Below are 24,027 nucleotides of genomic sequence, written 5' to 3' on the forward strand. Positions count from 1 at the left end.
TGTTGTATTCTTTCGGGTTTCTGAATAGCCTCCGCAAAGGAGGCTATCACATATTAACCTATCTCAGTGAGCAGAGGGGTGACTTTGAATAGATGGGGAGGCAGGTTTGCCCTAAGCAGTTCCCAGCTTTTTTCCCTTTAGCTTAGTGATTTTGGGGCCCCCAGATTCATTTTCCTTTCACAGGCTAGACAGCTTTAGGAACTGAAAGGTTCACGAGGCTGTAACGAAGAGTCGAGTTGCTCCAGGTGAGCCTGGGCCACAACAGCACGCAGGACCTGGGCGCCCACGAGGGGCTCCTGGGAGGGTTTGGGAAAGGGATGTGTGAACCCTATCTGAGATGGTTTCAGGTAATTTAGAAAGAGGTGCACCCGTGACACAGCCTCAGGAGGTCTTGACGACATGTGCCCAAGGTGGTCAGGGCACAGCTTGGTTTTAGGGAGACATGAGACATCAATCAATATATGTAAGAAGTACGTTGCTTCCATCCAGAAAGCTGGGGACAACTGGAAGCAGGGAGGGGGCTTCCAAGGTCACAGGTAGGTGAGAGACAAAGGTTGCATTGTTTTGAGTTTCTGATTAGCCTCTCCAAAGCAGGGAATCAGATATGCACCTATCTTAGTGAGGAGATAGGTGACTTGGAATAGAAAGGGAGGCAGGTTTGCCCTGAGCAGTTCCCAGCTTGACTTTTCCTTTAGCTTAGTAATTTTGGGTCCCCAAAATTTTCCTTTCAGAGAGCCTACGACTAGATTTGCATCTTTACGTCCTGCGCGGAGGCTGCTACACACATGCAGAAGTCATGCTGGTGGCCTGGACAGTGAAGGGAGAGAAGTGGATTTGGGAGACATTTAGGAGGTAAGATTGCTAGGACCTTGGTGATAGCTTGGACATGGAGGGTGGAGGAGGAGGGGTGTCTAGCAGATAATGCTCTTAGGTTACCACCTGGGATATTAGGGAGAGTGAGCAGGCTGTTTTTTGTTTCTTAGGCAGAACTTGGTTTTGCGGTGCAGTAGGGTGCCTGGAGCCGAAAGCCTGACTTCCTCATACAGGCCAGACCCCACATGTGACTGCCAGGCCACTTTGAGGCTGAGAGAGATGGTTTTGTCTGGCCTCTGTCCTGCACGTGTTTACGGATGACCTCTGTGTTGGCAGATTTGGGGGTCCGCCAGATAGGATCCTGTGAAGAGACCTCAAAGGTCTTTAGTCCAATCTATAAAACATTTTTATGTTGATTATATCATTTCCACAATCAAAGATGAAGAATATATACAGAGGTGTATTTAGTGAATAAGGTTGATGGTGCACCTGCGCTAGGCAGTGTTTTAGTTCGTTGAGACACCAGGGAGTTGAGACAATCCTTTACCTCAGAGTTTTGTGTCTGTAAGTCCTGCTGTTGAGAGGTGTGTGTGTTAAAATGTCTGATTTGGGCAGGTGAGATCTGGGCCCTCTGTAAGGTTAGGTAACAGGAGGTTGGTGTCCAGCAAATATTCAGTGCCCCATCAACATCCCAGTTCTTGTCCACCAATCTTCCAATTCTAGGACTGATGCGGAGGCCCTCAGAGCGACTTCAGAGGAGAAGTAGTATGCTCTGTGGCTATCTTGTTTTGGAGTGTAATTTGTAAATCCTCTGCAAACAAAACGTTGGAAACAAGTAGTGTTTTGGCTTGAGTTTCCTGTAAACGGCTTACAGTCGTTGGGTTAGGGTTGGGTTAGGGTGATGGTGAGGGTGGGGGGTGAGGGTTAGGGGTTAGGGTTAGGGTAGGGTCAGGGTTAGGGTCAGGGTCAGAGTCATGGTTAGGGGTTAGGGTTAGGGTCAAGGTCAGGGGTTAGGGTTAGGGTTTAGGGTTAGGGTTTAGGGTTAGGGGTTGGGGTTAGGGGTTGGTTAGGGTTAGGGGTTAGGGGTTAGGGTTAGGGTTAGGGTTAGGATTAGGGGTTATGGTTAGGGTTATGGTACTGTAAATAATTTCACATTATTACTAATAATAAATTATTATTTGTATTACACTATTACATAATGTAAAGGCTATTAAGACATGTTTGTCTTCAAAGAATGGCCTTGGTTTCTGTGGGCAGTGTCCTCATGGAAAGGTAATGCGTTCCTGCTAAATCATGGACAAAACGGGCTTGCAGGAGCTACAGGCTGCAGCAGCAGCTTCTCCTCTACGTCCTTCACTGCCTCATACTGTTGTTGACTTTGAAAGCTTTTTTCAGTCTAGTTTTATCAACAGAGCTAGTATTTTCATGAGGTTCTACTACATACCAGGTTCCAGAAAGCTAAATGCCTTTTGTTTGTTATTATTCACTAAATACAAATCACAACTCTCTCCTCATTACTCACACAACAAAATTTAGCTGAGGGAGACTGAGTGACTGTCCCAGGGTCACACAGCTACTAAGAGCAGAGTCGTGTTTAGATTCATGTGGGAATACTGAACACAGACATGAACCAGTGGAAACATCCTACGTTCCAAAAGCCTACTCAAGCCATTTGTTCTTATTTTAAGGAAAATCTTTATGCTAATTTTAAACTCCAAATACTTATGAATGGCAGAGATCTACAGATTTGATTCTGATGTAAGAAATGATGGTCACCAGCTGGTTACTGCTACCACCCCACAACCCCGAGCATACTGGACGAATGTCTAAGCCTTGTGGTTAGTGGGGACAATGCTGGTGGAGTCTGAAGTTGTCATGCGGTGACTCATGCAAGCTTAGGCAGATTTGGTGATATATGACACAGAGATGCAAAGAAATGTTGTAGCTGACACACACCGGCTGGCTCTGGGAGATGCAGAAGGAGCACGTCACCCAAAATAGAGCCAGACAGACATCCTTAAGGAAAGAGCCAAGGGGCTGCATCTTAAAGAATGAAGAAAGGATTTGTCATGAGAGATGGGACAGGAAGTTCTTGAGAGGCAGAGGGAGATTGTGAGAATGTTGGGAAGGGAGGAGAGATTCTCGCACATCTGGGAAGCTGACAATCCATCAGCATGTCCAGAAGGAAAATAAGGAGGAGGAGCAGAAATAGATGAGGCTGGATATAGAAGCAGGGCTGAAGCTGTGTCGATTGTGGTAAAGAGTTGTGATTCTATCCAGAAGGCAATAGGTAGCATTCTAAACAGAGATCTTTTAAAACAAGAGTCAGCAAATATTTTCTGCAAGGGGCTAAATGTTAAATATTTCAAGTTTTCCAAGCCATATGGTCTCTCTCTCAATGACTCAGCTCTTCCATTATACCATGAAAGTAGCCAGAGACATTATGTAACACATGTATTGGCTGTGTCCCATTACAACTTTACTTACAAACGCAGACTGTGTCAGACATGGTCCATGCATGGTAGTTTGCCACACTCTGTTTTAGAAAGCTCAGGTTTATGATGTGATGGAGAATGCCTACAAGAGCTCTTGTTTTAAATGGTAGAGTGAACATACACTGGAATTCTATCCTGCTTGACCCAAGCTCTTGATAGCGAAAGGCAGAAAAGATAGATGGTAAACAGATAGATAGATGATAGATAAAGAAAATACATAGCTGTTCCAGAAAACAGAAATGGATAACTTCATGAACCAAAAGCAGAGTAATATACTTTAGAAAGGAAGCAGGCCAGAAAACCCACAGTTGCAAAGCAAATAGAATTTCCAACTGCCTCTTGTAGCCCCTTCCTGGAAGTAGTCACAGCCCAGGGTGTTTGACTTCTTCCTCTGTTTTTTGTTTGTTTGTTGTTTGCTTTTCTGTGGGGTTTTTGTTGTTGTTGTTTGCTTTTTTAAAAAAAAATTCCCTTTCCCTGCTTTTTGGTCACAGCAGCCTTTGTCACTTCAAACACCGCAAGTGTTCTTTAAAAAAAATTATATCAACCTTTCAATTAAAATGCAACATGTCTGAAACTTGGTATCTGGAGAGGTGAGTTGGACAAAGGAGCCCTTGTTACTGCACGTTTTCATTCTTCAAATTTCACCTTGCACGCAGTAACAGACAGTGCGCAAAGCCACTTCCTTATGGACGGAAATTCTGAAATCCTTTTATGCCTGGCCTTTCCATCCTTCATCTTCCCCTCTCCCACGCTGTGAAGGATCGTATTGGACATTTTTGTTTTAATGTCAGTGACAGGGGAACACAGGTAGCTCTAATATAGCTGTGACCCAGATGCTTCTGTTTCTAGCACATATTTATTTTGCAGCAAACATTTACATCCATGATGTTTTACTGTCTTTTGAAAATAATTAGGCAATATCTCATCTGAGGTAGGATGTTTCTAGGGGTTGTGTTCTGAGGGAGGAAAACTAATCTGTTCTCTTTCCACTGCATTCTAGGAACAGTAAGAGGACCTTGTGCATGAATAATTTGTTTCCACACTACAGAGTGGGTAATAAGCAGATTAGTAAAAACAATTCTGCTTCACTTCAATAACAGCCTCCTCCAACTCATTTTTTCTCAACAAACTTATTTTTCCAGCAGAAGAATCCCAGACTTCTTAGAGAACCCAGTGACTTTTTGCACCTTAAATCTGTGAAATCCTCATGTTTTCTTCTGCCGTATCCATAGTTCAAACAAAGATGAGGCAAAGCTAGATGCATTCCTGAAGGAACCCAAGAAATTCCTCTCTTTATTTCTCTGGAATGAAATGAATTCTCTAGACCACCAGTTCTAACCTTCAAAAACCAAACCTGTTTGTGAGATCTCCTTCAAATACTACTGTAGACCCCAGTGTTTATTCATTAAATTTTTAAAATATTTGTTTTATTTGGAATCCATGTATTTGTAATTTTAGTGTTTGTATTAATATAAGGGAGAAATGTTTAAATCTGTCTATGCCATATGTGCCTCTGGCTTATTGCCCAATTAATTGTAGACTCAGGCTAAACTTTGGTTTCTGTCTTTAATTTTTGTCAGAAGAAATATAACTGATCTCAAAACATCTGCTTTTATTGTAGGGACTCGTGCTGCCATCTCCATTCCTCTCTCTTTTCTTGCAATCTGGGTAGAAGTTCTTTAATATGAACATTTCAACCAGCTTCATTCTACCGTGTCCACTATCAGCACATTCAAACTGATCCAGCCAAGGCTGTCATATTAGGCCAGGGATTTTTTAGGAATCTATTATGCTGTGATGCGGCTGGCACCCCTTTGACTCACTGTATCACCCCAGGGTTCTTTTCATTTCAGAAGCCCAAGAGGGCAGAAAAAGAAGTAGGTGAGCAATTAAACCCTCTGAGTCAGGAGCGTCTCCCCTTGCGTTAAGCAATGTTGTAGAACATCGTGTTTAGCAAGCTCCTAGCAGATGAGCCACGTGGCTGCTGAGCACACACGCCTGCTTGCTGCTGTGAGCTCAGGCACCATCATCATGTCTTTTCCATCTCTGGAGCGAATTGTAAGGGCCACTTAATAACCTGTAAATCACAGAGAGTTAAAGGTGCTTCCCCAAAACACTGATGACAGAATGAAAGGTGAGGAGTGTTAGCCACAGGTCACAAAAGTGCAGGAAAGTCTCTCAGTGTGGGTTGTTGAAGAAATGCAGGTCTTTTTTCTTTTGGAAGTCTCCCTAGAATGGGGTCAAGGACTCTGCCCATTCTAGGATGAAAAACTGGGATATTAGACACCTTCAGATATTTATCCCCAGCTTTCATTTTGGGCTCTTAATTAGTTTGTTCATCCATCACAATCTCAAATGCTAAGCAGGGCATTTGAATCTCTCCACAGTGCAAATCAGCGCCGTCTTTTAAAGTTGAGTTTCTTGTTATTCTCACCTGATGTACCTTATTTATCCCACACCCACCCCAATAACATATCGTGCTCACTGTTATCTTTGAGGCAACCCTTGAATTTTACTCAGCCTGGAGCGCTCTTCACATGTCTTGTCCAGAGCCAGTTCGGACTCATTCTTCAGCCGTGCATCAGTCAGTGGGGGCTAGCTTAAACTGTGGTGACAAACAACCTCCAAATTTCAGTGGCTCAAAAATCTTCTTCCTCATTTATTTACATCTCATGACTGGTCAGGTGAGAGGTAGCTCTGTGCTGTGTCATCCTAACACAGGAATCCAGAAGGAAGGAGGGACCGTCAAGATCCCCATTGCTATAGAAAAGAGAAAAAAGCATGCGGAATAGAACGCTGTTTCTTGGAGATTTCTCCTGAAAAAGTCACATGTTATTTCTTCTCACCTCCATCGGCAAAAAAAAAAAAAAAAAAAAAAGTCATGTGGCCATGGGAAAATTTAAGTAGGTGGGATGGAACAGTCAGAATGCATTCATAAAAAATGAACTGAAAATATTTGGAGAACAGCACCAATGACTATCATGAATGCCAACATACATCCCTAACAACCCAGTGCTGTTACCCTCCAAACTTTTTATGTCTTGCAAAGTATTAGAACTTCATATCTGAAGCCATACCACTCAGAGGGAATGCAATACATATTGACATCTCCTTTAGGATGTCCATAGAGAATTCAAGAAAAGAAATAATTTAAAAGTGCTTTTGGGTACAGCTATTTAGCACTAGAGGGTAAGAGTAGAGATAGATTGTAAAGATAATAATAGGGTTAGGCATAGGATTAGGATCTGGGTCAGAGTCAGGGCCGGAAGTATGGTTAGAGGTGGGGTCATGGTCAGGGTCAAGATCAAAGTCAGGGTCAAAGTAAGGGTCAGAATTAAGGACCAGGGTAGGGATCAGGATTTAGCTTCAGGCTCAAAGTCTTGGGACAGGGTTAGGGTTAGGATTAGAACCAGAGCTTTGTTCTCAGGACCCACCCGAGGGTGGGTCACCATGGCTTTGGAGCACCTGGTAGTGTGGCGTGTCCACAGTGAAGACCAGAGTTTCATTGTCCTTAAGACTGACCTGGGAGACGTGGCTGCAGGCCATTGAGGAAGGTGAGGCAAAAGCTTCCTGTCTGCTCCCCGTGTGCTGAGGAGGGAGCTCTGCCATGTGCTTTACTTTCACACGTTATATTCTACGAGTCTTGTTTTACAAAAGCATCCCTTCCTTGAGGCTTCGGCTGCTCATCGCTGCTCATCATCATAGCGTGCCATAACATATAGTAAGATTTGGGTTTGTTTCTGGGAGAGATCTTGGCATAGAGAAAGGAGAAATGCTTAGAGCCACCATCAAGACAGTTGGGATGAAAGCTGGGGATAGGCAGAGGCTGGAGGAAACATGTGCACCCCTTGTAAACACTTATTCATGTTTTAGTTATTCACTTAAAGTGTTAAATTAGTAAAAATAGTATTGAAAAATTGAAAAGTAGGCATATTAAAACTTGTAACACTAAGCTTAGATATATTATTTGTACCTCATCAACATTTTTTATTTTGTTGAGAAAGTGTAAGGTTAATTGGCAGCATATTTCTAATAGTAGATAGAATAATGTCTGTTTTATAAACATTGACATCCTACATTACATGTGTGAACCCTGAAAATCTGAGACAGCTCTCAGATTTTTTAGAAAGTTTATTTTGCCAATCTTGAGGATGTGCGCCCGTGATGCCTCCCCAGGAGGTCCTGACAACATGGGCCCAAGGTGGTCGGGGCACAGCTTGGTTTTATACACTTTAGGGAGACATGAGACATCAATCAATACGTGTAAGATGTACATTGGTTCAGTCCAGAAAGGTGAGAAGGCCAGACAGGGGGCTTCCAGGTCAGAGGTAGGTAAGAGACAAATGGTTTCATTCTTTTGCATTGCTGATTACCCTCTCCAAATGAGGCAATCAGGTATGCATTTATCTCGGTGAGCAGATGGGTGACTTTGGATACAATGGGAGGCGGGTTTGCCCTAAGCAGTTCCCAGCTTGACTTTTCCCTTTAGCTTAGTGATTTTGATTCCCCAAGATTTATTTTCCCTTCATAAGGTTTTCCTATGAGCATTAATTATTCATTGTGTATTTTATCACACAAATAAGGCACAGATTTTTAAAAAATCATCAACTTCCTGGCTACCTATATAGACATAATTACATAGAAGCTCAACTAAATTTGCAAACATTCCAGAGTTTGGGTTTCCAATAATTCTTTGTGATTCTTTAAAAGGTAAAGTATTTTTTTCCCATAAAACATAGCAACATTTAAAATCACCCGTAGAATGTCCTGCCATTTTTGTTTCTGTAGTTTCCTCATTTTCTGCAAAGCCTCGCTGAGGAAATTGACTTTGAATATCCTTTTACACTCTTCTGTTTTAGAAAGCATTGTGGTAAAACATTGAATCATCATGGTCATAAGTTCTGTTCACATTCTTTCTTGCTTTGAATATTTTTTCCCAGTGGCCAATATTTGATTCTGTTGTATCATGGCTAAAAGGTAGGCATGGCAACAAAATAAAGACAGGAAGTCTTTGGAATAAGTGATCCCATCACAATGAATCAATTTGCCATTGGAACATATTTTTACAAAGTCACTCTTTTGAAAATATTTAGCTATGAATTAAAACAGAGTCTGTATGGTTAATATTTTTCCTGGTCTAAGGTGAACAGCATTTTAGAGAATGAACTCAGGACACAACCACAGCAGAAGAAAAACGTGATAATTAAGTTTACACATGTGTGTTACTACTGCAACAGAAAACATGTAAAGAACATTTGATTTATGTATCAGTCTGCACTGTTTAATTTTTTGGGTCATAAATACTCTTATTTAAAAAAACAGGACTAGTTAACAGTGTCAATTACTAGTAATTCATGGTATAAATAATTAAACAAGGAAGTGTTCAAAAAAAACAGTGTTTTAAATAAAGTTTTATTTTACATCATCTTTTTTACTTACACAGAAATTGTCAAAAAAAAGCAGAGATTTCCCATGTAGCTGCAACCTAGTTTCCTCTCTTATTAACATCTCCTATCAGTGTGTCTCACATGGCTTATTAATATCTTACATAATTTGTCACAGTTAATGAACCAATACTGATAGACTATTATTAACTGAAGTTCATATTTCATTTGGATTCCCTTAGTTCTATCTTACTCTGACCCAGGATCCCATCCAGGATCCCGCATGACATGTAGACATCACGTGGGCTCTTCCTGGCTGTGACAGTGTGTCAGGCTTTCCATCTCATGATGACCTTCATAGCACTGAGGAGGATTGGTCAGGAATGTTGTAGAATGTCCCCCATTGTCACTTCATGTTCTCAAGGTGAACTGTCACCTTTGATGTTCACTTGGATCATTTGGCAGAGCTAATGTTTGTCAGGTTTCTCCACTGTGAGGTTATTTCTCCTCCTTGTCCGTACTGCATGTGTTCTTTTGGAGCAAGTCACTATGCAGAGCCTCACTCCGTAAGGAGTTGGCTCCACCTTCTTGACGGCTGAGTGTCTACATCAATTATTTGGAATTCTTTTGCAAAGGAGATTTCTATGCAACTCCATTTGCTTATTCACCTAGGTATACAAATACAGACACCTAGATAATTACTTTAAGCTTTAGTTATTATTCAACACTACAGTATTATGTTGCACAATTCATTCCTGTGTTGGCCATCAGTAGCTGTTTTTATTGGCTCTTATTTTTCTTTGATATGTTTTAATTTTTTTAGTACTTACTTTCTGATACTTCCAGATTATCTTGGCTCCTATATTTACTGTCCCAGTTCTAGTATCAGACATTTCTTCAAAGAGCCTGATTCCTTTCAGAATGGTAGGAAAACTTACATCTGGCTGCTGAATGAGCACATTGTATCTTCTCCCTCATTGGCAATGCTAGGAAGTATATGTGTGTGTCTAACCTACCTATACACACCTAATTATAAAGTTTTCTATGTAGAACTGTGTGTGTCTATATTAAACTAAACATAAGTTTACATTGATGTCTCCACCTCTGATCTACTATCACATGAATCATTCTAGCCTTCTCGCCTTGCTAATTTGTAACCTCCCACTTCAACAGTAAGAAACCTGGTTCCCACCATCTGCGACTTATGTAAGTCATTGTTTTATTCCAGATACAGACACTGTGGTTTTACAATTGTTCACAATTGCTTCTGTTGGAAAGAACTTTATAAAATGGAATCCAATAATGAAGTATAGTTCATGTGCCTTCAGCCTACAGATTCTATTCATTTTCAAAGTTTTTACCTAGATTTGTGTCTCAGTCCATTTTGTGCTTCTGTAACAGAATACCTGAGGCTGCGTAATTTATAAGTAAAACAGTTTCATTTGGTTCACAATACTGGTGGCTGGAATGTCTGAGATTGGGCAGTTGCATCTGGCGGGGCCTCAGTCTTTTTCACCTCATGGTGGAAAGTGGAAGGGGAGCAAGGGGTGCACCAGCGATCACACAGCAGAAGTGAAAGCAAGAGGGAAGCCAAGGAAGCCAGGCTCTTTTTAATTACCTGCTCCTGCAGGAATTATCTATTCCTGTGAGAACAGAACTCACTCACCCCCATGGAGGACATTAATCTATTCATGAGGGATCCATCCCCACGACCCAAACACCGTCCACTAGGCCCCACCGCCCCACACTGACGCAGTGGGAGTCAAATTTCAACATGAGTTTTTGTGGGGACAAACCACATCCAAACCATAGTAATTTGTAGCATAAATTCTTTTTCACATGATGTATTCTGTCCTGGGATACTCCACATCCTGAGTAATTGGATTTAATTTGAATAGAGTTTGCTTTAACCATTTGGCTGTAAAATTCTGCATATTTCGACAAATGCATTGTGGCAGATATCCCACTATTAAAGTATCATATGGAATGCCTCAAACCCCCACCCCATGGAGCCAATGGCTTCCCATCTGTGTAGTTTGCCTTCTCCAGTGTCTCATTAAATGAGGTCACACTGTGTGTATCCTCCTCAGACTGTCTTCTTCCACTTAGCAATGTGCATGCAAGATTCACTCATGTCTTTGTGTGTGTTGATATCTTGTTCCTTTCTATGGCTAAATAGTATTCCATTACATGAATGTAGCACAATTTGGTTATGCATTTTGGGGAGCAGAACCTACCTCTTCTAACTTTGTTCCAGGGTTGGAGACCTTCAAATTAACTGACAATAGATACATTAGTAGGAGAGACAATACTTGGCTTCTTGTTCCCCAAGTATCATTGTGGGACAAAATTCATCAGATGGCAGGATCCAGTTTAAAAAGAGGTAAAAATAGCCCAGAAACAAGAAACAAGACTAGAATCTGATAACTCACAATGGCTATAGTTTTCCTTTAAAAAAATTTTTTTCGAGACAGGGTCTGGCTCTGTCGCCCAGGCTGGAGTGCAAAGGTGCAGTCTCAGCTCACTGCAACCTCTACCTCCTGGGTGCAAACGTTCCTCCCTCCTCAGCCTCCTGATTACCTGGGACTACAGGCACATGCCGTCATGCCCATCTAATTTTTGTATTTTTGGTAGAGATGGGGTTTCACCATGTCGCCCAGGCTGATGTTGAACTCCTGGCCTTCCAAAGGGCTGTAATTATAGGCATGTGCCACCATGCCCGGCTGTGTTATACTTTTCCTTTGAAAGATAAAATTTCTCTCTGTAGTAACCATCATTTTTGATCATAATCAAAGTAAGACTATTCTTGTTTTAAAAATAAGTCTAGTTTTGTTAGATTTTGCTTGATTATTTACGTAAGTGCAGCAAGAACAGGAGATGACCACATAGGTGCTTTCAGGTTTCTTTGCTGGAAGTTTTCATACAGAATCTCAGATTTGACTTATTTTTATTTAGCCTTATTCAGGCTAAAAGCCAAGCCAAGAACATACTATCAAATTTCAGCTGCAGTCCTTATAGCTTTGTGTGAATTCTTCTCTTCTTGAGGCCCCAAAATATCCCTAAATTCCTGGGCCTACCAGGAAATGACCTTGCTTACTAACCTATAAGGCTGTGAACCCTGTAATCTAGGTATCAGGCTGGGTTTTCTCAGAGTGCTGTTGGGAATGAAGTTTTTTATGTCCCCCCCCCCCCCCCAAAAAAAAGAACTAACATGGGAACAAATGATCTCTTAGCAAGGTGAGCTTTATTTTTCTGCACAAAGGGTGCTACTCAATAGCTGTCCAGCTACAAGAGCACACCAAACAAAGGAGACAGAGTTACTTATAACCTGACGTGTCTACCCTACTGCTGTGTCCAGTTTCCATTGGCTGGAATAGGACCTCCCATTTTACACTTTACCCGATTGGCTGTTTGTTTAAAACTTTCTTAATTAGGTAAGGGGAATAGAAGAAAGAAAGAAAAGGAAGTTGCCCAGGGATAGTTAAGGAAGCATCTCCAAATAAGGAATGGCATGCACTATGGGCTGGGGCTTGTCTAGTTCTGTCCAGGCATGCTGGAGCAAGCTAGGACAAGTGATTTGGAACACACACACACACACACACACACACACACACACACACACACATAAAAATAGTGGGTAGTTGTGACTTTATAATCTTTGAGGAAGAACTTTCCTCAAAGTTTTCCACAGTGCTTTGTAAGCATTGTCTCCATAAAAGTCAACCTTACTTCCTTAAAATTGCTGGTCATAACTGATCTTAGGTACACTTCCTAAATATGATGTTCCAGTAAAAACCTTGATAATATAACCAAAATTTCCAATTATGTCCTGTTATAAGGTGAATAGATTGTTATTGGACTTTTGCTAACAACTATATCATCGTGGAAATAAGAGTATTCAGTAAGGATTTCAAAATTCTGGAAAAATCAGGCAAGAAAAAAAGATAAATGCTTCATTTCTGTTTACAAAAGTATAATCTACTAAATTGTTGTAAGTTACAGTTAGAGTAAGAGAAAGAGATTTCTTAAATCCAGAAACTAGAATATTAACCAGCAATGCTCCAAAAAGCTATACAATTATAATCAATTTTCATCAGTTCATTCAGTGCCATGTAATCAATTCCAGTCTTGTGGATCTTGAGTTAGCAGTGTCATGAACCCATCAGTTTCCCAACCGGACTTCTGGAGACCTTAACTGAGTCAAGTGTATGGTCTTAAAGTTATTTAAGCAATATCATCAGAAGCCTATAACCAGAGTACCTGTCATAGTCTTTTCTGTGAGTCTCAGAGGGAGTCCTGTCTTGGAGACGAACATTCTGACCTGTAGTTGATTGCAGGAGCTTTCAGGAAAGTATCAGGGGGAAATAATATCTAAATGACAAAAAGTATGAAATGGCTGTGATGAAAGATCTGATGAGAGTTCATTATACCACAACTGACAAGGATATTCGATTTTTTCTGTGGCAGACAACATTTATTTATTTATTTATTTAGAGACAGAGTCTTGCTCTGTCGCCCAGGCTGGAGTGCAGCGGTGCGATCTGGGCTCACTGCAAGCTCTGTCTCTTGGGTTCACGCCATTCTCCTGCCTCAGCCTCCCGAGTAGCTGGGACTACAGGTGCCTGCCATCACGCCCAGCTAATTTTTTATATTTTTAATAGAGATGGAGATTCACCGGGTTAGCCAGGATGGTCTGGATCTCCTGACCTTGTGATCCACCCGCCTCAGCCTCCTAAAGTGCTGGGATTATAGGCATGAGCCACTGTGCCTGGCACAACATTTAAAGTAATAATTGGAATTATGACTCATTACTCTATAGTGGCACATAGCATGGATAAGGAGGACATTGACAAACTTCCAGGAATTTTATATAATTTCTGAAAACATAACATTTTACCCATACAAATATAACACAGGGAAGGTTAGGTATCTCTTTTTATTTGTATCTTCTGTATGGTTTTCCTTATAAAAAATGCAACCTACTTTACTTGCGAAACATGCCCTACTTTTCTTGCATGCTTTGCATAGAGTTGTTTCTAGTTATTCTATTATTTCTAGTAGTTTTATTTACATATATTGATTATAATTTTAATACTTAGTAATCTTTTATTTTCCAGAGAAAACTAGGAAGTAGACAGTTATAAACTGTCATATATTAGCATTCTATAGTAGGTTAGAAAATGTATGAGTATACCATCTCCCAACATCTAGAGGGATGTGTTTCCTCATAATACAATTCCTCAGTGTGGCAGAAAAAAACATGTTTATTAACGGGCCAAAATATCTTTAGTCTCTCTGTAAAAATAGGAAGCCAAAAGTATATAAACTTGAATTATTTATGTTCAGTAATTAATGTTTTAGTATTGTATCTTATTTATAAATGGTCTAGATATTTAATGCAAATCTTTTACTTAGCTTAACTTTAAGGTTAAAAATTACCAAAAATACTTTGGAAACTATTCTTAGGCAGATTTACTGTAAACAAATTATTTTTGAAATAATGTTTTTCGCTTTTCACAAGATGGCACCAAAAGCGAAGGAAGCTCCTGCTCATCCTAAAGCCGAAGCCAAAGCGAAGGCTTTAAAGGCCAAGAAGGCAGTGTTGAAAGGTGTCCGCAGCCACACGCAAAAAAGAAGATCCGCATGTCACTCACCTTCAGGCGGCCCAAGACACTGCGACTCCGGAGGCAGCCCAGATATCCTCGGAAGAGCACCCCCAGGAGAAACAAGCTTGGCCACTATGCTATCATCAAGTTTCCGCTGGCCACTGAGTCGGCCGTGAAGAAGATAGAAGAAAACAACACGCTTGTGTTCACTGTGGATGTTAAAGCCAACAAGCACCAGATCAGACAGGCTGTGAAGAAGCTCTATGACAGTGATGTGGCCAAGGTCACCACCCTGATTTGTCCTGATAAGGAGAACAAGGCATATGTTCGACTTGCTCCTGATTATGATGCTTTCGATGTTGTAACAAAATTGGGATCACCTAAACTGAGTCCAGCTGGCTAACTCTAAATATATGTGTATCTTTTCAGCATAAAAAAATAATGTTTTTCATAAGAATGACAACTTAATTAGAATCAAATCTATAAGCTTTAAGATTTTACGTTTCTAGTAAGTATAATATTAGCTTATTTGACTAGAACTCAAGCAGAATAGGAATTTATGCTTGTTTTATATTCAATAATGATAATTTTGAAGATATAGTTGTTTTATTACACCAAAAATACTATATTAATCTTATTTAACTAAGTTTTATCCAAATCATGTTAACTTAAGAAACATTTGATCAGTTCCTATATTTCTAGGAGTTTGGTGAATATTTATTTATAAATGCTTATTTTTTTCCAAGCCAAGTTAGAATAGAGCACTTTTAGAGGATTTCATAAATGAATTTTGCAATGCTCTCTGGAGTTAAGAAAATATCACATATACATAACATACATTAATAGATACACAAACACAAATAGAGATTTCATAGCTTTCATCCTGAAATTTCAGCCATGAATCAGGCATAAATATTCTGATGGTTAATTTCAGACATCTACTTGATCGGATTGAGAGACACGCATAGCTGGTCAAACACGATTTCAGCCATGAATCAGGCATAAATATTCTGATGGTTAATTTTAGACATCTACTTGACTGGATTAAGAGACACACATAGCTGGTCAAACATGATTTCTGACATGAATCAGGCATAAATATTCTGACGGTTAATTTTAGACATCTACTTGACTGGATTAAGAGACACACATAGCTGGTCAAACATGATTTCAGCCATGAATCAGCCATAAATATTCTGACGGTTAATTTTAGACATCTACTTGATCGGATTGAGAGACACACATAGCTGGTCAAACACGATTTCAGCCATGAATCAGGCATAAATATTCTGATGGTTAATTTTAGACATCTACTTGAGTGGATTGAGAGACACACATAGCTGGTCAAACACAATTTCAGCCATGAATCAGGCATAAATATTCTGATGGTTAATTTTAGACATCTACTTGAGTGGATTGAGAGACACACATAGCTGGTCAAACAATTTCAGCCATGAATCAGGCATAAATATTCTGACGGTTAATTTTAGACATCTACTTGAGTGGATTGAGAGACACACATAGCTGGTCAAACACGATTTCAGCCATGAATCAGGCATAAATATTCTGACGGTTAATTTTAGACATCAACTTGACTGGATTAAGGGACACACATAGCTGGTCAAACACGATTTCAGCCATGAATCAGGCATAAATATTCTGACGGTTAATCGTAGACGTCTACTTGACTGGATTGAGAGACACACATAGCTGGTCAAACACGATTTCAGCCATGAATCAGGCATAAATATTCTGATGGTTAATCGTAGACATCTACTTAACTGGATTGAGAGACACACATAGCTGGTCAAACACGATTTCAGCCATGAATCAGGCATAAATATTCTGATGGTTAATCGTAGACATCTACTTGACTGGATTGAGAGACACACATAGCTGGTCAAACACGATTTCAGCCATGAATCAGGCATAAATATTCTGATGGTTAATCGTAGACATCTACTTGACTGGATTGAGAGACACACATAGCTGGTCAAACACGATTTCAGCCATGAATCAGGCATAAATATTCTGATGGTTAATCGTAGACATCTACTTGACTGGATTGAGAGACACACATAGCTGGTCAAACACGATTTCAGCCATGAATCAGGCATAAATATTCTGATGGTTAATCGTAGACGTCTACTTGACTGGATTGAGAGACACACACAGCTGGTCAAACACGATTTCTGGGCATATCTATGAGGGTGTTTCTGGAAGACACTGAGATAACCATGACCCAATGTGGATGGGCACTGATATGGTTTGGCTGTGTCCCCACCCAGATCTCATCTTGAATTGTAGTTCCTGTAATACCTACATGTCGTGGGAGGGACCCAATGGGAGGTGACTGAATCATGGTGGTGGTTACCGCCATGCTGTTCTCATGACAGTGAGTGAGTTCTCATGATCTGATGGTTTTATAAGGGGCTTTTCCCCTTTGGGTCAGCACTTCTTGTTGCTGCCATGTGAAGAGGGACAGCTTTGCTTCCCCTTCTGCCATGATTGTGAGGCCCCTGCAGCCATGTGGAACTGTCAGCCCATTAAACCCCTTTGTTCTTTATAAATTGCTCAGACTCAGGTATTTCTTCATAGCTGTATAAAAATGGATGAATACAGGCAGCATCCAATTGGTTGAGAGCCCAGATAGAATAACAAGGAAGAGGAAAGGTGAATTATCTCCTTCTGAAATGGAAACATCCTTCTTCTCCTGCCCTTGACATCAGAACTTCAGGGTCTCAGACCTTTGGCCTCACAATCAGAGTTACACCATTGGCTTCCCCGATTCTGAGTCCTTTGTATCTGGAGTGAGCCATGCTACCAGCTTTCCTGGTTCTCCAACTTGGAGACAGGCTATTGTGGAACTTCTCAGCCTCCATAATTATGTGAACCAGTTCCCCTAATGAATCTTCTGTCATCTGTCTACATATATCCTATTGATTCTGCCTTTCTGGAGACCCCTGACTAATGTGATTACAATAACTACACAATTCACTAGTTTATATAGAAGACTTGGTTTTTGTCTTTGCCCCATTTTATATTTGTATTATAACTATGTATCTGGAAAATGGAACAAGTTTTTTCTTCTTCATATGAGGGCTAAGGCTTTTTTCTCACCAATATTTTTGGAGATTTTAAAGATTTTCTTTTTTTTTGACATAGAATCTTATGGAGGCTGAGAAATAATTTTTTTTCTATTTTATTCTTCAGCCCCAGGTGTTTGCTTTTGCAGATTCTTGAGCACATTGAGAGCCTCCAAGGCATGGAGTGGGGTGCCTGAAGTTTCAGTGATTATAGGGAGTTGAGAGACTCAACTGGGAAAGGAAAGGTCTAAAAGGAGGCAATTTGGAAGATAAAAATTTTCTCAAAGGAGCCATTAAAGTTGTAAATAATTCTTAGTAAAGTCATGCAAACAGGAAAAGAAGTAGAATTAGTTCCATATTGGTGGAACACATAGTCAGCAGAGGTTTGAGAAGGGAGAATTTAGTGAAGTGAGAAGTTCCCATGAAAGCAGCAAGATCAAGATCACAGACACCTTGAAACAAAAAGCCAGGAATAACTTCCAACCCAAGAGGAGAACAGAGAGGCCTCAAAACCAAAGGTAGGATAAGAAACTTGTAGCCCAAGAGTTATCTTCCAGACAAAGAAGCCTGAGATTCCAACGCAGCTTCAGAGAGTGCTCACTCAAAATGTTACTGAAACTGTAGGCTTTTTAATGAGTTAGCCATGCCTGCAAAAGGCATTCCCTAAGGTGGCACAGAAGACGGAGCCCCCATATCCAAAGATAGCCAAGGAGAAAGAAAGACCCCTGTTGCCAGAGCCAGTGGGCAAAGGCAACAGAAAAGGAGACAAGGGTCCTAATGGGATGAGATCCTTTCGGATTTAGGCTTTTATACAAACTCCTGAGAACTGGCAGGTTGACAGCCATAAATGGGGTACCAAACTTTCTACTCATTGGATTACAAGTTCTCAGGCATCCAGAATGATGAACAAAATGACAATTTCTAGGGCTTCTGTGGGAGAGTATGGAAAGGTCTTTTTGAACCTTTTAATGCTGTGAACGGAAGAATGATGAGGTTCATAAATTTGGAAAGGAGACATTTCTTCATTTTTATGCTTATTTTTATTTTTTTTGAGACAGAGTTTCACTCTTGTTGCCCAGGCTGGAGTGCAATGGCGTGATCTTGGTTCACTGCAACCTCCACCTCCTGGGTTCAAGCGATTCTCCTGCCTCAGCCTCCTGATTAGCTGGGATTACAGATGCCCACCACCACACCTGGCTAATTTTTTGCAGTTTTGGTAGAGACAGGATTTCATCATGTTGGCCAGGCTGGTCTGAAACTCCTGACCTCAGGTGATCCACCCACCTCGGCCTCCCAAAGTGCTGGGATTACAGGCATGAGCCACCCACCCAGTGAGAGATTTATTTTCTATAAAGGGTTGTAGCCTGCAGGGTTGTCCTTCTGACAGGCTGGGAAGCATAGCCTCCAGCCAGAAGCCAGAAACAGATGCTTCAAGGAGGAGGTAAAGGAAATAGCAACTTATGCTGAGTGGAATGGCCAAATAGATTTATTTAATAAGCTCTAGGAGGAGTCATGAATATTTATGGAAGGAGAAATGCATGCACGCACAATTGAGTTTCTTGCTTCTTCATGGGTCCCATGTACAAAAAATGGCAGTGTTAGCATGATCCCAGGGTGGAGTTTTCAGCCCTCTGACATTAAAAGGTGAAGCAGAGGACATGAAAACTCGCTCTGTGCATCCTCTGTACGCTGGCCAGAACCTCTCCATCGTGGGTGGTCTCTTATCAGGCAAGAAAGGAGAGGTTGATATCAGTGGTGGAGGCTTTGAAAGGGCTGGTTTCTGTTAAATCCTTAGGGAAGAAAGCCTCATCATGGTTAGCAAAGGAGGGGGTATAACGATGTGTATCTTAACCCCATCATCCCATCCTAGCAAAGCTGAGAACTCAGTTTTGAAAGTTACTCTGGGGTCCCCTCAGCCAAGAGTGGGTCTGTTCAGTCAGTTGGGAGCTTAGAATTTAATTTTCATTTATCAATGCTAATGGGAAAGAGTACGCTGTCTTCATGGCAGCTGAATTTGCAAGAAACTCCTTGGATGGGGTTAATGGCAGCTGTATTTTTCTGGGAGCTGTGCTTTAATTGGATAAAGTAAGTTCTGGTAAGATTTCTTCATCTTCAGTATCTCAAATGTTTTCATTTAAATAATCTTTATAACAACTTTTGATGTCTGAGTGGATTCCCACACAGTCATCTATTGTAAGACTTTCTGATTCCTTTTTTTTCCTTTGGTCATTATGAATAGGGCTTCTGTAAATAACTGCATGGTAGCTTTTGATGGGAAATAACATCAAAGTAGTTGTCAAAATACCTAGGAATGTTATTTTTGGATTGTAAGGTGAGACTTGTTTAGCTTTGGAAAAAAATGACCAACTTGTAATAGGGGAGGAAAAATAATTTTCTGTTTTTGGAATTCTTAGATGGAACGCTCTGTAAAAACTGACAGATTAAAATGAGAAAAAGAGAAAAGTTTAAAAACATGTATATCTTATGGTTACATGGGAGATACTCAGGGAAAAATGAGTAAATCTCCAACAGGTGGCTTTCAATTCAAGCATAAATACTATCTTCAACTTAAAGAAAGAAGATTTGAGGTGCAGTAGTGGGGAGTTAACCAGCAAAAGCACATTAGACAAGGGTAAGGTTCGTTATACAGACTTAAGTCCATGCATTCTCCATTGATAAGACTCTTCAGTGATTTAGTTATCCTTCTCTTCTTGGTGTCGAGAGAGGTAGCTTTTAAATGGTGATTTCCTTTATAGATGTAAATTTTCCTTACACAAGTAACTTCTACTCTATTTTCACAACTTCCTTTGTTAGCATTTTTTTTTTTCAAAATAATTAGCTTGGAATAATTCTTAAGCCAAAGGGACATATTTTGGGGTTGCATATTCTGGTTTCCTACCATTATATTTTGGGGTGGCATAGTTTGGCCTTATACACTGTGTTCCACTGGCAATGAAAAGAGTTCTTGTTTTTCCTCCAGCAATTTGTCATTTGTTAAAGAGCTTAGCAGTTCTAAGAGATATAGACCAGCTGTGCTATCTTTATGTGGTTTTCAGTTCTCTAGTATGTTGAGCATCTTTTTGTAAGTGTACTTGCCATCTGTAGATCTTCTTTGGTGAAGTGTCTGTTCAGATCTGTGTGCATTTTTAATTGGGTTGTTTAACTTATTTAGTTTTAACAATTTTTTATATATTTTGAATACAAATTCTCAGATCTGTATTTTGCAAATATTTTCTTCAATATGTGGCTTGTCTTTTTGTTCTCTTGACAAGGTCTCTTCCAGAGTATAAACTGTAAATATTAAGAAATCCACATTGTCATTTCTTCTGTGTATATCAACCTTCTGTGTCATTTGTTAAAATTCATTACCAAACGCAAAGGCACACAGCTTTTCCTCTATAGTTTCTTCTAGAAATTGTATAGTTTTGCATTTTTAGTGTAAGGATGATTTTGAGTGATTATTTGTGTAAGTTGTAAAGTTTTCATCTACATGCATATCATTTCTTATGGTTTCCAATTAATCATTCCCTCACTATTTTTGGGAAAGACACAGGATAGTGGGCTCTGTTAGAGTAGATAGCTAGCTAGACATGAACAGGAGGGGGAGCTCCTGGAAAAGGGAAAGTCTGTGAAGGCTCACCTGGAGGGACCACCAAAAATGCACATATTAGTAGCATCTCTAGTGCTGGAGTGGATGGGCACTTGTCAATTGTGGTTAGGAGGGAGAAGAGGTACCTACGCAGAAACACCCTAGAACTTCTCTTAAGGTGCCCCAATCGGATGGGCGCGGTGGCTCACGCCTGTAATCCCAGCACTTTGGGAGGCCGAGGCGGGTGGATCATGAGGTCAGGAGATCGAGACCATCCTGGCTAACAAGGTGAAACCCCGTCTCTACTAAAAATACAAAAAATTAGCCGGGCACGGTGGCGGGCGCCTGTAGTCCCAGCTCTTCGGGAGGCTGAGGCAGGAGAATGGCGTGAACCCGGGAAGTGGAGCTTGCATTGAGCCGAGATTGCGCCACTGCAGTCCGCAGTCCGGCCTGGGCGACAGAGCGAGACTCCGTCTCAAAAAAAAAAAAAAAAAAAAGATGCCCCAATCATCATTCACTCTGCAATAAAAATGTCAGAATATTGCTAGCTACATGCTGATAAGAAGGACAAAGGGGACATTTTTAAGAGAAACCTGGCACCATAAGTACAGATTAGGGCAGAGAAAGACATTCAAAAGAGGCAGCTGCAGTAGATACAAACGTGACCGCTGTCAGCCTGCCTGGTATGGCGGGAAGGAGGCTGGTGCCAGAGTGGATTCGGATTGATCACCACACATGTACCTCAATCAACAGTGAGGAGGTCCCACAAGGCTAAGTGGGGCAAGTCGGGGACCTATGGCAGTAGCAGGAAAACGAAAGAAAACAGGCGGAGACTTGAGACAGAGGCAGGAATGTGAAGAAGTCCAAAATAAAAATCCCTGCACAGGACTCTTAGGCTGTTTTCATGCACTATCAGCCTACTCCTCCCTATTTTTGTACTATAAGCTCTTTACTCTGTATTTCTTTTCAATGAAGTTATCTTCCATCTTTGTACTGCCTCTTGGTGAAAAGCTGTCTTCCAAGTTAATAACTGGGACATCAGCTCTCCGCAGTAATAGCTCCTTTTCAGTTTTAATTTACAGAACTGATGGGGATTAATAACTGGCGCTCTGACTTTAAGTGGTGCAGGAGGTGGCCAGTAGGGGACGGCAGCCGTCACACCGGGAGCAAGAGGGCCCTGCGTAGTCCCCATGTGCCTGCATGTGGCGTGCAGCCACGACAATGCCAGCAAGAGGGCCCGGCACTGTGCCCAGCTGCCAGCAGGCGGGTGTGCTGCCACTACAATGTGAGGAAGAGGGCTCTGCAATGTCCCTAGCTGCCAGCAGGCGGCGTGCCACCACTATACTGCGAGCAAGAGAGCCCTGCCGTGCCCCGGCGCTAGCAGGGGGCGGTGGACACCACTGTAAACAAGAGGGCCCTGCAGTTGTCCTAGTCGCCAGTAGGGGGCGCAATGGTAGAGCACCGTGGGCAAGCTGGTCCTGTAGTGCCCGGCTGCACGCAGGGGGCGCCCAAAACGGGCTTTTCAGATTACTCAGGTTCCACTCGTCTCTGCGCCGCCGGGGACGTGTGTCTCTGCGCCGCCGGGGACGTGTGTCTCTGCGCGTGCACCGCGCCACCCCCGCGCTCCCCGCCCGGCGGCGCGCGACTGTGCGACTGCAACACTCCCCGCCACCCTCAACCGAGCGACGTGCGTCTCTGCGCCTGCGCCGCGCCTCACTCCCGCCCGCCCAGCGACCCCTCCCCTCCGGGGAGGTGCCGGCGTGCGTCTATGCCCTGCGCCGCGTCTCCCCAACAGCGCCGCGCCTCTCTGCGCCTGCGCCGGCGCGCCGCGCCTCTCTGCGCCTGCGCCGGCGCGCCGCCTTTGCGAGGGCGGAGTTGCGTTCTCTTTAGCACACACCCGGAGAGCATCGCCAGGGCGGAGCTGCGTTCTTCTCTGCACAGACTTCGGGGGTATTGCGAAGGCGGAGCAGAGTTCTTCTCAGGTCAGACCTGGGCGGGCGGGCTGAGGGCACTGCGAGGGCGGAGCTGTGTTCTGTTCAGCACAGACCTGGGGGGTACCGTAAAGGCGGAGCAGCATTCTTCTCAGCACAGACGTTGGGGGTACTGCATGGCTTTGGGACAACTCGGGGCTGCATGGACGGTGAATAAAATCTTTCCCGGTTGCTGCCCTGAATAATCAAGGTCACAGACCAGTTAGAATGGTTTAGTGTGGAAAGCGGGAAACGAAAAGCCTCTCTGAATCCTGCGCACCGAGATTCTCCCAAGGCAAGGCGAGGGGCTGTATTGCAGGGTTCAACTGCAGCGTCGCAACTCAAATGCAGCATTCCTAATGCACACATGACACCCAAAATATAACAGACATATTACTCATGGAGGGTGAGGGTGAGGGTGAGGGTTAGGGTTCTGGTTTGGGTTAGGGTTCGGGGTTAGGGGTTAGGGTTCTGCTTCGGGTTCTGTTTCGGGGTTAGGGTTAGCGTTAGGGTTAGGGTTTAGGGTTAGGGTTAGGGTTAGGGTTAGGGTTAGGGTTAGGGTTAGGGTTAGGGTTAGGGTTAGGGTTAGGGTTAGGGTTAGGGTTAGGGTTAGGGTTAGGGTTAGGGTTAGGGTTAGGGTTCGGGTTAGGGTTAGGGTTAGGGTTAGGGTTAGGGTTAGGGTTAGGGTTAGGGTTAGGGTTAGGGTTAGGGTTAGGCTTAGGGTTAGGGTTAGGGTTAGGGTTAGGGTTCGGGTTAGGGTGAGGGTGAGGGTGAGGGTGAGGGTGGGTTAGGGTTAGGGTTAGGGTTCGGGTTCGGGTTCGGGTTCGGGTTCGGGTTCGGGTTCGGGTTCGGGTTCGGGTTCGGGTTCGGGTTGGGTTAGGGTTAGGGGTTAGGGGTTAGGGGTTAGGGTTAGGGTTAGGGTTAGGGTTAGGGTTAGGGTTAGGCTTAGGGTTAGGGTAGGCTTAGGCTTAGGGTTAGGGTTAGGGTTAGGTTAGGGTTGGGGTTAGGGTTAGGGTTAGGGTTAGGGTTAGGGTTAGGGTTAGGGTTAGGGTTAGGGTTAGGGTTAGGGTTAGGGTTAGGGTTA

At 42.3% G+C, this 24,027-nt stretch overlaps 1 pseudogene across 2 annotated transcripts in view; it reads left to right on the forward strand.

Moving 5' to 3' along the window:
• Positions 1–15,196, forward strand: part of RPL23AP82 (ribosomal protein L23a pseudogene 82) — a 42,552-nt pseudogene extending 27,356 nt beyond the window's left edge. For both annotated transcript variants that reach the window (NR_026981.1, NR_026982.1), the window contains 2 exons: positions 732–852; positions 14,214–15,196. The product of NR_026981.1 is annotated as a ribosomal protein L23a pseudogene 82, transcript variant 1 (transcript). The remainder of the gene's footprint in view (positions 1–731; positions 853–14,213) is intronic.
• Positions 15,197–24,027: the final 8,831 nt, after the last annotated feature.

The sequence above is a fragment of the Homo sapiens genome, chromosome 22, assembly GCF_000001405.40.
Source record: "Homo sapiens chromosome 22, GRCh38.p14 Primary Assembly".
In the NCBI taxonomy this organism is placed as follows: Eukaryota; Metazoa; Chordata; class Mammalia; order Primates; family Hominidae; genus Homo; species Homo sapiens.